At 39.4% G+C, this 14,028-nt stretch overlaps 1 protein-coding gene across 3 annotated transcripts in view; it reads right to left on the bottom strand.

Moving 5' to 3' along the window:
- RHOJ (ras homolog family member J) overlaps positions 1–12,094 on the bottom strand; it is an 89,066-nt gene extending 76,972 nt beyond the window's left edge. For all 3 annotated transcript variants that reach the window (NM_020663.5, XM_011536993.4, XM_047431613.1), the window contains exon 1: positions 11,490–12,094. In NM_020663.5, coding sequence (NP_065714.1) covers positions 11,490–11,667 — 178 coding nt within the window. In that variant the 5' untranslated portion in view covers positions 11,668–12,094. The remainder of the gene's footprint in view (positions 1–11,489) is intronic.
- Positions 12,095–14,028: the final 1,934 nt, after the last annotated feature.

Below are 14,028 nucleotides of genomic sequence, written 5' to 3'. Positions count from 1 at the left end.
ATAATTCTTACTTTGACAAGTATAAAGGGCCCCATTATTAATGAATGTGAACATAGTCATTGCATCTCTTGCAAGCATACCAGTTGAAAATTGGTGTACTTTCTAAGAGATGAACAGTTACATTTTATGAACATTCTTCATAATTCTTAGGAGGTTTGTACCTGGCATATATTAAGGAGACTACTTGCTGATTATTTTTCCTCTTAATTAATCTCATTATTTGAAAAAATGTATGCAGCACATACTTCAAGTAATTAAGTTTTTCCCTTTGCCTCTAGGATATAGCATCAGAATATAACAGAGGTAGAACAGAAATCCTCAATATAATTAGGAAAACAACTTTATGCCTAGCTAAATCACTCAGAACTCATAAGCTTAAAATTTGACTGGAAGCAAAACCTTTTGGTGTTTTCTTTTCCAGAGAAAACAATTTTTTTACAAGTTTTAAATAAGGTCAATATAATCTATTTTAATGTATGCTCATGGTGCTTACAATATATCCTTTCAGCATGTGGGAGGATAAAATAATTTCAACATAGAAAATTATCCTGAGCGTCCACATAGGATGCTAACTTCAGTGTAGTGCACTGGTTAAGACTGAGACTCTTGGATGTCATTCATTCATTCATTCAACAAACAGTTCCGGGTGGCTATTATGTTGTAGGCTCATTCCCAGGTATGGAGGACATAAAAGTAAACAAGACAGAAAGGGCCCTGCCTTCAGGAATTATATATTCTAGGGGGAGACAAGCCATGGAAAATTAAATAAACAAAGAAAATTATAATGACAGAGAAGGTAAATAAGTTTTGAAAGGGGGACCAACTTAATCAGAGTGGGCCCCCTTTGTGGAGCTGATAGATTTGAATCCCAATTCTGCCATTTCTTTGCTGAGTGATGTTGGACATGTCACTTCTCTGAGCTTCGGTTTTCTTGTCTGTGGAATGAGGATACTTACTACCTAGAGAAAATGTGAAGCTCAAGCAAGATAACAAAGGCAACACAGGGCTGGACACACAGTAAATACTCAGCTACTTAATGTTAGCTAATTAAGTAACTTGCTGCAAAAAGATCAGGAATCATTTTGTTCACTGTGGTGCATTCTGCTCAGGCCATGCAGAGTGTTGTTTTTCTCTTGTTGGCAATCTGGATTCAGTTGATTTACCAGTTTGTATTAAAACAGCTGGAGAGACTAAAGGAAGGCTTGGTACCCGTTTAGTAAGAGTGATTGTAAACTGGCTGTCCAGATAAGGGTGGCTGAGTTCTGGTTACAAAAGATCTGTCTCTCCCCAGATTTATGCATCTTTCTTTCAGGAAGACCTAAGTAGAGGTCTTTTTGGACTCAGAGAACTTGTACTGTAAGAGGTTTTCTGTTTTTGTTTTCTTTCCTTTTCCCCAAATGTTAGGTCAAAGCATGAAGAAGAACAGAAGGATTTGCAGAGGGGAAACAGATGTTTACTGTTCATTTCATAATCACAAGGCTGGATGAATGTGGAACAACAAATCATAGCTTCCAAAACACAACTGCATCAAAACCACCCCAAAGATCCCAGGCTCTTTCCTGTTTTTTTAAGATTCCTTTGTTTCTTCCCATGAGGGCAGGTGCTCTCTAATTTCCCTCAGTGACCCCTCTGAAGGTCTTAGAGTCATGTTGATTATTTTTTTCATTTGCGGAGTGATTCACCCATATGTAGCTTTGCAGATTATGCCCAAGCTCAAGGCTTTTCCCCCAGCAGCTGGTACTTGGCTACCCATGGCTGCCCTTGGGTAAGTAAGGTTAGTCTCCTTACTGCTACGCATCAGAATTCCCACTTGCCTCTAGTCTGACTCCCTGAGGCTTCTCCTCCCACCCTGCACCAGCCCTCTCCCAATTCTTTCTGTTCTTAGCCTTCTGTATTCTCCTTCTTCCAGGAGCTCTCTATGCCCCCACCGCAGGTACAGATCTTTTTTGAGAACACTCTGTTTCCTCACTTAGGAGTTTGCTAGCCGTTTCCAAGAGGCACTAAAGGCCTTTTCTGTTTGATACGATCTGCTGGAAACTCCCAAGTCAAGAAATTTTACATGCATATCTGTTTTTAAATTGCTTTTTACTGATGGATGGTTGACTATAGAATTGCTCCTTTTGGCTTGATTCATAGGCACCATTACAGCATAAAGAAGGGTTTTCTGAACCTACTAAGTCACATTAGCTGAAACTATATACATTTGTGATATCTAAATGGGTTTGAACTCTAAAACAGCAGTGTCACAAGTTCTACCTAATTAGAAATTTCTATGAAGCTTATTGACATTCATATTCACAGCTCTGTCTCTAAATGGGTCTGGTGTAGAAGCCCTTACATGGACCCAAGAATCTGCATTTTTAACAAGTAAGCTTTTCTTATGGCCAGGCAAGTCTGGGAAATATAGGTATGTCATATGTAGTGGAATAAATAGGGAGTTAAACATGGTGCTAAGGCAGTTGATATGTTTATCTGTGCGTATTGTATTTGGTATAAGCAATTTCAACTTAATGACTGTGGTGAAGATGACTAAGTGTCTATTAAAGTCTGTTTGTCCCTTCTTTGGGCACATCGCTGGCCTTCCTTGTGATAATGTGTGGCCTACAGTTTAAGTTCTCTCCAGTGAAATGTGAACAGAAGTGATGCATGCCACCTGTCAGCCTGGCCCATACCACCACTCCCTACCCTTACTCCTCCATAGTCTTTCATCTTCTAGTGTCTAGATACAGAGCACCACAAAGCCCTAGATGATGGCAGGGTACCAAGATGGAAAAAAGTAGATCCCTGAATGACTACATGGAACAGAACTATCTCACCAACCTGAAGACCTGCCAAGGTCTCTTATATGACCAAAAGCAGGATTCTACCCAGCAATCCTATTACTGGGTATATATCCAAAAGAAAATATATCATTATGCCAAAAAGACACATGAACTTACATGTTCATTGCAGTATTATTCACAATGGCAAAGACATGGAATCAACATAGGTGCCCATCAATGGTGGATTGGATAAAGAAAATGTGGTACATATACAACACAGAATCCTATGTAGCCATTAAAAAGAATGAAATCATGTCTTTTGCAGCAACATGGATGCAGCTGGAGGCCATTATCCTAAGCAAAGTAACATAGAAACAGAAAACCAAATACTACGTTAGTTCTCACTTATAAGTGGGAGGTAGACACTGGGTACACATGGACAGGAAGATGGCAACAATAGATACTGAGGACCACTAGTTGGGAAGGGAAGGAAGAGGGCAAGGGTCAAAAAACTAACTATTGGGTATTGTACTCACCACCTGGGTGACAAGATCATTCATATCCTAAATGTCAGCATCATGCAATATACCCAGATAACAAACCTGCACATGTACCCTCTAAATCTAAAATACATGTTGCAATTATGTAAGAAAATAGGATTCTAATAGTTTGAACCCTTATATATTTTAGCCTATCTGTTACAGCATCTTAGCTTACATAGTAGTATGGTGCCATCATTACAAAAACCTAAAAATACATGTGCTGTTGGCTTAGCTGTTAGGTGGCAGATGGTGACAAAACAGAGCAGGTTGGAAAGATGATCTGTGTTATACTGTGGCAAAACATTTTGTAAAACTATTGTTTGTGAAACCTGGAAGGTAAAGCTACTTCCCACTGAGTCCATAGCACTCTATGAAGAGACCGGAAAATGACAGAATGTTAGTATGTATTAATTGTTATTTTACATATTTAGCAAGGTGTTATAAGAAAGGGAAGAGATGAATTGGTTGTTTTTAAAGCTGAGATTGATAGAACACAGATTTTCATGGGTTCAAAGAGTTAGAAAATGATTGTTTCTGGATTCCATTAATAGATGATACTATCAGGATTGTCATCAGAATTCTATTATTGCAATGTGTCTCCCATTCTTCCCTTTCTGAAAGGGAGTTTGAATGTTTTGATTATCCCATTCCTGTCCCACCACCGCATGGGGCAAATTGTGTATATGGGTAGATAATTTGTCTTTTATTGGATCACAAGGAATCACGTTTAGATCAAATGAACAGAATCATGCATCACTTAACAGATGCTGGTCTTTGACACAGTTGCAGTGCCAGAATGCAACTCTAGGTGGTCCTTCTGGGGAAAAGAGTGAGTTTTTTTTACATGTGGGAAAAAATGTGCAAGGATATTTGGTGGCCACAGAGTCTGATGCAGGCAGAGATTGCTAGCTTCCATCAAAATCCATTCTTCCCTCTTTTGGGCACAGAGGGGGGCTTTCCCTCCAGCCTCCTTTACAGTGAGGCATGGCCTTGTGACTAAATAAACTCCTATGCAGTGTGATTGAAAACGATGTTTGTCACTTCCAGGCCTGGCCCATAAAACTTTCCATTCAAGTTTCTCCATGCTGTTTCTCATTCAGCTGTGTGGATGCAGATAACTGAAATCCTAGGGGATGTCAGAGTTACCAGATGTGAGAAGCCTGAGACATTAAATGACCACATGGAAGAAAGCAGCCCTACTGACTTGAATACCTGCTCAGGAGCATCACATGAGCAAGGAATACCTTGCCATTGAGTTAATCCCTTACATGTTTGGTTTACTTGTTAATAGCAGGTCCTAACTAACAGTGGCTCTTTTATTGTTATTAGCTATACACTGCTCATATTGTTTACTATTCCATGGCCTCCACTTACCCCATTACAAGCAGTTTAGCCTTGAGGGAAATAGAGTAGTATCTTTGTGCCGGGAATTGTTCATCAGGAAAGTTGAGAAAATGATAGCACCTTATGATAAAGAAGGGTTGGCTTTTTGGTACAAGGTACAAAAATACAGTTAGATGGAATAAAATCTAGTATTCAGTAGCACAACAGAGTGACTATAGTTAACAATAATTTATTGTATATTTCAAAAGAACTAGAAGAGTAGATTTAGAATGTTCCCAACACAAAGTAATGATGGATGTTTGAGGTTATGGATATACCATTTACCCAGATTTAATCATTACCCATTATATGCCTATATCAAAACATCACATATACTCTATAAGTAAATAAGAACAACCATTAATGTATCCATAATTTTTTTTTAGAGATGAAGTCTTGCTCTGTTGCCCAGGTTGGAGTGCAGTCGCATGATCATGGCTCATTATAACTTTGAACTTCTAGGCTCAAGGGATCCTTGTGCGTTGGCTTCCCAAAGCACTGGGATTACAGATATGAGAGACTCTCGGGTGTCTTCAGAAAGAGCAAAAGAGAAACTTATGAATAAATTTTCCCAAATGAGCAGAACTATGTCACAACCTTTTATAAACCTGGGACTTTATTTTTATTCACTATTTATTATAATTATGTTATTTTTTCCCCCTGTGGATTGGACCTGTTTCCCACTCCCTGCTCTGGCCATTAAGGTTATGACTGTCTACCTTGGGCTGATCACCATTTAACTAAGTGGAAAAAGTTAGAACTGACTTTCAGCTTTCTGTAAAAACAACTTCCTTTTACATCTCAATCAGCTGATAGAGTAACTGGATTTCTCTTCTTTCCATGAATTGTGTTAATTTCCTGCATAGGCAGCCTGGGTTTGCAAATAGTGGCTTCATGTGGTTTTCCAAATTTGATGGCTTTCAACAAAGAAGCTCTAGGAGGGTGGGTGATAGAAGAAAGATTCACAGACAAAATAATACAGAGGATGGTGGAAATGGTGAACATCGTAAAGAGGTTTCAGCTGGAATGAGCTTATTTTACACACCTATGTACCCCGACATATAAACCATGTACACAATCTAACTCAACATACAATCTAAATTCAAAATGGAGCTCTTATCCTTATGCTATATGTCAAGTGAAACATTAATCGGTAAGAATATTTTACCAGTGAGGGGTCTGCTACAAAACTCAAAACTAAAGATAGGATGGGGGAAGAAATGCAATTCTTCCATGGTAAGCTGTGAAAGCTCTAAAGGTTGTTGGGACGCGTTGAGTCATCCCTGGAAGGGAGTAAGGAGCAGAGCCCAGGGTTGTTTCTTAGGCACACTTGTAATAAACAAGAGTGACTTTTCCCACCTTCATCCCACTGCTCCTACCCTTTAGACCTAGCCGTCAGCCGAACTTAGGGTTACTCTGAAATATGCTCTGTATATTAGAACTAGAGGAGTTTGAGTGAGGCACCCAAAATGTATGTCAGCTTTTGAACATAATGTAGATGAAGGAATCCCAAGTGATATTTACACATTATATAGTTAAGCTATTCAGTAGATGTGACACTGGCCACTTAGGTCAAGAAAATTCAATGCTGGCTGGGCGTGGTGGTTCACGCCTGTAATCCCAGCACTTTGGGAGGCTGAGGTGGGCAGATCACGAGGTCAAGAGATCAAGACCATCCTGGCCAACATGGTGAAACCCCGTCTTTACTAAAAATAGAAAAAAATTAGCTGGGCGTGGTGGCACGTGCCTATTGTCCCAGCTACTTGGGAGGCTAAGGCAGGAGAATCGCTTGAATCTGGGAGGCAGAGGTTACAGTGAGCTGAGATTGTGCCACTGCACTCTAGCCTGGTGACAGAGTGAGACTCTGTCTCAAGAAAAAAAAAAAAAGAAAAAAAAGGAAAAAAAAAGAAAATTCAATGCTATATTACAGTTACAGTGGGGATAAAATGATTATTTAAAATATGAATAAAATAGTTCAGAAATATAATAAATATAATAAACATTTTTGTATGTTCATTCCTAAACAGATATCTATTGGACAAGCAATTTGTTCATTTATTCATCAAAGTTTTAATGGACCAGAAACTATCTAAGTGTTGGAAGGACTAAGATTGCAAAGACATAGTAATTCATTTATTCAGTTGAGAATAATCTGAGTTGAGAGTCTGTTGAGTGTCTATAATATGCAGGACTTTGTTTTTTGAAGCTGGAGATAGCAAATACATATATAATATCAGGTAGTATTAACTATTATAATGAAAGATGTGGCAAGATAGGTTAAAGAGAGAAAGAGAGTGTGTGTGTGTGCAAGCACACATGCATTAAATAATGTGGTCAATTGAAGCTAGGGGGGATCTAGCGGAATAGTATGAGACTGGGGAAAAAGCAAGTACAAACTCTTCAAGGGAAGGAGTTGGGTGTGCTTGAGGAATAACAAGATGGTGAGTGTGGCTAAAGCAAAAACACTGATGAGGAGAGTGTTAAGAGATGAGATTGGAGAGATAACAGGGACTGAGTCATGGAGTGCATCATATACAACATAATATAGGGTTGGGTCTGAGTGTTAAGGGAAGTGATTGGAGAAGTTGGGGTTTGGGACAGTCCCTCTGCCAGCTATGTGGAGAATTGATGATAGGGGGCAAGATTGGAAGTAGGGAATTGGGAATTGATTATAGTAGTTTGGATGAGAGATGATGGTGGCTTGGACAAGAATGAAGGCAATGAAGACGGTGATAAGTGATCAGGTTTGGGATGTATTTTGAATGTTGAGCTGATTGGTAGGAGGAAGGGATGATAACTAATGGTTTAAATGGAAAGGGAGGGGAATGTTGTCAAAGGAAGAAAGGAGTCAATACCAAAGTTTTTGTTTTCAGAAACCGGGTGGAAAAGAGTGGTCATGTACATACATGGGGAAGCCTAGGGGAAGAGTAGCTTGGGGAAGTTAAAAAATTCAGTTTGGACAGGTTAAGAATGAGATGCCTATTAGATATTCAAATAGTCGGATATATGAATCTGAGTCTCAGAGGGTTTTGATGATGGAGCTACAAGTTTTGCCGTTATCAGGATATGAATGATGTTTAAAGTTACAAAACTAGATACAATCAAGCATACCCTAAGTGTAAATAAAGAAGAGGACCCAGGGACTGAACACTGAGGTTTCAGTGTTTCCGAACATTTGGTGGTTGGGAAGACAGAGGGGAGGTGGCATTGGAGATGGAGAAAGATTTGCTGTTGAGTGGAAACAAAACCAGGAGAATGTGGCATCCCAGAAACCAAGCCAAGAAAATGTTTTAGGAAGGAGGGTAATGAACCATAAAAAAAGCTTCCAAGAGATCAAGAGGAGGACCTAGAATTGACTGTTGGATTTCACAGGACATGAAAGACACAGCTCCTTTCCCTTAAGGGGTTCCCAGCACAGCAGAGATGGGAAAATAAGGAAGCATATAAATTGTTATACAATAGTGGAAGATCCTAGAGATGTAAACAAATTTGTGAAACTGGATTGGAGATGGAACAGGGAATTATTCTTGGGGAGTCAAGGAAAGCTACATGGAGCAGATGTGCTTTTGGATTTTGGTAGGTAGGAGGTAGGGATACATCAGAATTCGTAGAACTTTAAAAATTGTTTTTTGTAGCTGGTCGTTGATTTTTCCTGCAAAAATAAACTCATTCAAAATAATTTTGCGTAGTTTTTACTCATGCAAAACTGATATTTCCCCTCCCAATTTAATATCCTATTACTATTACCTCATATAAACATATTGTTAATTATCAGTAAACATGGTAACTATTTTATGAAGAAAATACATACACTCCATCCTACCTTACTCTTCTAAAGGATACTCTTGTAATTACATTTTTCCTTCTTGTAGTCTTTATCTTTTAATTACATTTTCATTCCTTTTCCTGGCTGTATGCAAGTATCGAGACTGTATTCTTAATAGCTACCATGTACCTAACTCTTATCACACATGAGGCACTGTTCTAAGAACTTTACATATGTTAATCACTTTGTTCTCACACACAATTCTAATACCTTAATTGTCCCTGCTTCTCATTTGTGATAACTGAGGCACAGAGAGGTTAAGTAACTTGCTCAAGGCCACAAAGTAAATGACAGAGCCAGTATTAGAACCGGGCTGTCTGACTTCAGAGATCACCATCTTGCACAGTAGGTTGTATTTCCATCCTTACTATTTTATCTCTACTTTTCTGGGTTGGGCAGTTATTAGTAAAAAGTCTTCAATGGATAGGCTCTCTATGACTTAAATTATAGCTTCTAAAGTCTCAGCACTCAACTGCAGGTTGTCATTTTAAAGTAGGCCAGTAGGACCCAGGAATTAGATACTGGATCCAAATGGAGAAGAGGGCATTTAGTTTTTTACAATTGATTGTAGATTCTCACGTGACTGCCTAAGGATTTATGTTCAACCAGGTCATATACCAGGAGAGTGGTGGTAAAAGGAACTCAAGTCTTTGTGGTGGAGAAGATCCCTCTGCTTATAGAAATGACCACTTCTGGTTGGGCGCGGTGGCTCACGCCTGTAATCCCAGCACGTTAGGAGGCTGAGGCAGGCAGAACACGAGGTAAGGAGTTCAAGACCAGCCTGGCCAGCATGGTGAAACCCTGTCTCTACTAAAAATACAAAAATTAGCCAGGCATGGTTGCGTGCGCCTGTAGTCCCAGCTACTCAGGAGGCTGAGGCAGGAGAATCGCTTGAACCCAGGAGGTGGAAGTTGCAGTGAGCCGAGATCATGCCACTGCACTCCAGCCTGGGCGACAGAGCAAGACTCTGTCTCAAAAAAAAAAAAAAGAAAAGAAAAGAAAAGAAATGACCACTTCATTACAGTCCTAGATGTATGTGGTTCATGTCTCCATCCTCTTTTTAACCTTACTGAAACCACATGAGACGATTATATACTTAAAGAGGTACAAAGTGTACATCAAAGTAACCATGTTTAGGAATGCTTACTATGTGCAAAGTATTGCTCTGAGTATAGTGGCTGTGATTTCTTGGGAGCTAAAATAATAGACTAGCCGAAATCTTTAAGATGCTTTAATGCTCAACAATAGTAAGTATGTACATTATTAAAACATAAAATTATTGGAGCCTAGTGGAATCTAGTTGTGGTTCAGCCTTTGTTTGATTTCTAGTGTAGATTTTTTATAGGCTGACTTGATTCTCTTTTTTCCTGATACCATACTGTAACTGGCTTCCTGAATACATGGGGATTTGGATACATAAGTTTCATAGGCATTTGAAGCCTCTCCCTTTAGGTTTTCAGTTCCGCCTTTGATTTAAAAGTTTTTGAAATAAGGTAGCCACTTTCCCTTTCTTGGCAGAAAGAAGGTGTAGAGTAAATAACTTTTGCTAAGATGGTTTCAGGAGAAGAATCTGAGGAACTTTCTCAAGGCGCAGACCCCCAAATTTTATAATTAGTTTTTTTCTCAAGATGAAAGTCAACCTGTTCTTCTCTTTATTCTGTTCTCATTAAAATGTTCTTCTCTGGGCATAGTCATTATATTTTCAGAAAGGCTTAAGTGAGCCAGCATTAAAATTTGCTCTTAATTTCTACAAATATAGAAAAACCTGCTGGGAAATGGATACTGTATTCACTGTGGTTCTCTCCCTGTCTGCTGTGTAACATTTTCATACATCATGTAAGTGTAGGGGGAAGCAGTGACTTAGGTGATGGCTTAGTTCTGGAAAAGAAGCTACTTTCTATAGAAGGAGGATTTCAAATGGCCACATTGCCAAGCAGACACTCATGCTGGTTTCCTGTGGGCCATTTCCCCTTTGTTGAACCTGACCCAAAGCCAAAATGAAGGAGGAGAAATTTTCCATTCACAAGGTCTCAGATCTCTGATAAAGATCACTATGATAAAAAAGTTATAAAATGTAGGCTACCATAAGCTTGAAGAATTTCATTAACTTGCTTTTGATAAACTTAATAAAATTTGTTTTGGAAATTAACAGAAAAAGAAAGAATCAAAATGGAAGAATTTAGATAATGCTATCACCCAGACAAGTACACCTACAAACTTTAGAACACTCGCAAAACAAAAGGTCCCCTGTAAGTTGTGACTACAATGTCTTAACTGCCATGCTTTAAAATATTTTATGTGCATTTTGTCCTCTCAGGACATACTTTAAAGTGATTCAGATTTTATTTGTATTTTTCCTTTTAAAAACATGTTAATTAAATATTTTTCTTTTAAGATACAGATTGCCTAATAGATATTTAAAACCTTTTAAAAACTCTCCCCCAATCTACAACCTCAGGAAAACAAAACTATAGTATTATAGCACCAATTGTTATAGAAAAAATGAGTGTTTTATTAATCTTAGCATTTTCATTTATAAATGGCATGAGGTGAATACGCAAAGAGCGGCAAGAACAATCCTTTCACCATTTGTGTGTCTAGTGGTGATTCTTTTTTTTTGGCAGAAAAGAATTGTGATGCAATTCCACTGCATTTAAAAATGTTCACAGTAAAACTTTAATGAATGTTGAGGCAAATGTTGAGTAAAAGCTCTGGCCCCCAAATCTAGAGGGCACGTCAGAGTATTTTCCTGGCGTTGCCATTCGTTTTACGGGGGAAAAGTGTTACCATACACATTGATGCACAAATTGTTCTACCAACAGTCAAGTCCTGGGTTGTATGCTACGCTAAGCTCCCTGGTTACTGCCAGGCCCGCACCCAATACTGACATTAGAAATGAGCCAGGCCCCTCTGAACTTAGGGTCTCGCCCCCTGCATCGTTTGTCTGGATGCAGAGAGTTTCCCACTTTTTCTTACCTGCATAGTGGTCAAACACAGTGGGCACGTATTCCTCTGGGAAGGCGTCGTTGGCGTAGCTCATCAGCAGGCAGGTTTTCCCCACGGCACCGTCCCCCACCACCACACACTTCAACATCTTCTTCTCGTCGTTGCCCCTGCAGCCGCAGCTGCTGTCAGTTCCCTCTTTGCAGTTCATTCTTGCGGCTCCAGCTGCTGGGGACTCCTGCTGCTATTGCTTCTCCTGCTTTTTCCAAAGCACATGAAGCGGCAGAAAGCCAGTGCCAGGCTTGAGTTTACTCTGTCTGACTTTGGGTACCTTGGATCATACAGACATGTCCGAGGCTGGGATATGTCCTGTTGCTTACCATGCTGGTAAAGAAAGGTAACACACACTTGAGGGAGTTATGAAAAGGGTCTGCCCCTTTCCGCTCTCAGTGTGAGTTAAGAAACCCTCATTTTCACAGAATTCGAGGGGCTTCCTAACAGCCTAGAAATTTCAGCAGCCTGAGGGTTTTACTCTGCTCTCCCTGTCTCTAGCCTGGCAAAAGATACGGTGGAATTTTGCTAAATCTTTCTCATTTTCCAAGTCACATCTAACATGGAGGAAAGCTGGGCTTTTTAATGGAGTTTTTTTCCCTTTGCTTCCTCCAGCTTGCCGAGTGTCAGGAAATCATGGGTTTCCTGCTGAATTCCATATTAGGATCAGTGGGCTGAGGAAGGCTGCAACAATGGGAGCTCTGTGTGTGTGTGTTTGTACTTCTGGGGAACGATGCCAGGACATGGAGTGGGAAAACACTAGGGGTCCCACTGCAGACTCAAGCTGTCAGACTTCCTGTTTCATCCGCTGCTTGCGAGCCTGTTCGCTTGTGGCTGGCTGGGAAGAAGCTGACTAGAGGATGGAAAGCGGGGATTACTGCCTGCCACAGAAGCAGGGGGAATGGTTAGAGCGAGCAGAGAGAACCACACCGGCAGTCCTGGGATAACATATGACATCACTCTTCACTGAGTCACTAGTTAAAAGCTCTGCAAACTAAAAACGAGCAGTTCTTTACTTAAATGAGAAACTTTAAGCGATTCTTCCCAGAAATAAAGAAGAAAACCTTCCAGAGTCACATCATTTCAAAGAGAAAAAGTTTTGTAAGTTGTAGGTATAATATGTATGATCAGGTTTATAAACTGCCACATGTCTGGAATATGTATTCCAGACACAAACTTTTTTTATGATGGTAGCACATAAGAAATCAATCACATGTGGGATGTTTGCATTCTCTTATTAGTAGATAAACACACATGTGCTTGGCTCATACTTAACACCCTTGGACAGGAGAGGGTATAGGATGGCTTTTTGGTTTGTTTAAGGCCCTCGATGCTGTTTTTACTTGGATGTTTTGCTTTTTGATTTAGTCTTCTCCCCTTGGGTCAGACGGGTCCTCTTCAATTACAAAGGAGCCATGGGCAGCTAATTTATTTGTCTGTTTGGTCACTCAAAATGAAGTCCCTTTGAAGCTCTGTATTTGATTAATGTGCTTGGTCTTAGAAAAGAAGTGGAACTCTGCAAATGATTTTTGACAAATGGGTCAAAATGACGGAACTCTGTTTTTTTCACTTTCATTTTTTGAACATTGATTTTGAAGAGTTCAGATTATCCAAATGTTTGAGAATTTTTTTTTTTTGATGAGGGGTGAGATGGGAGAAAAGTCTGTAATAGATATACCCACATATCATCTATATGCTGCCATATAATAGGTATAGTCTCTAGTTTCTTCTGTTTTGGATTATAGTAACATTTATCACAGTGCTTAGTGTCCAAGCCTTTCTTTCCTATAAAGGGATGGTGTTTCAGTCAAGTTATGGTGTATCAGTCAGGTTCTGTTGCAGTAAGAAACAATCCCTGAAGCTAAATGAGTATATTTATTGCTCACATTGTATCTCTATTGTATATTGTTATCATCTTTATTCAGGGATCTAGGCCGATAGAGCAGTCATATTGAGAATATTGATGATCATCATGGTAGAGGAAGAAATGAATATGACGAAGAGGTACTACCCCCGTGCCAAATTGAATATTTATGGAGAAAAAATTTTGAGACATCCTATTGACTCTTAAGGCTTCCTCCTGGAAGTGACACTTGTGCTTATATTTGTTGGTCAAAGCAAATGACATGCTGGGTTCAACAGGGGGGTCAGAAGTATAATCCTACCATGTATCAGAAAGGAGAGGACCAAATATTGGTGAACAGCCTGTGTGGCAACCACAGATCATTTAGCTGAGGTTTTATTTGCAATATGGAAGTTGAATTGTTTATGTTTAGTGCCATTCTGAAGCATTTGAAGACACCTATGACTTCATGTGATTTATATAATTTTATTCTCATTTAGCCTACCTTGAACACCTAGAATATGTGATAACAAAATTACTATGTGAAAACTTATATTTTGCTTCTAGAAAAGAGGCTTGAGTATGAAGGTGGCAGCCAAACAAATCTGTGCAGATAAAAGAGTGATTGGCAGTGACAAGACTTCATCCTGAAGATGAGCACAATCACGCTGAGCCTAA

This window comes from Homo sapiens, chromosome 14, assembly GCF_000001405.40.
Source record: "Homo sapiens chromosome 14, GRCh38.p14 Primary Assembly".
In the NCBI taxonomy this organism is placed as follows: Eukaryota; Metazoa; Chordata; class Mammalia; order Primates; family Hominidae; genus Homo; species Homo sapiens.
This window is presented reverse-complemented; position numbering and strand designations above follow the sequence as displayed.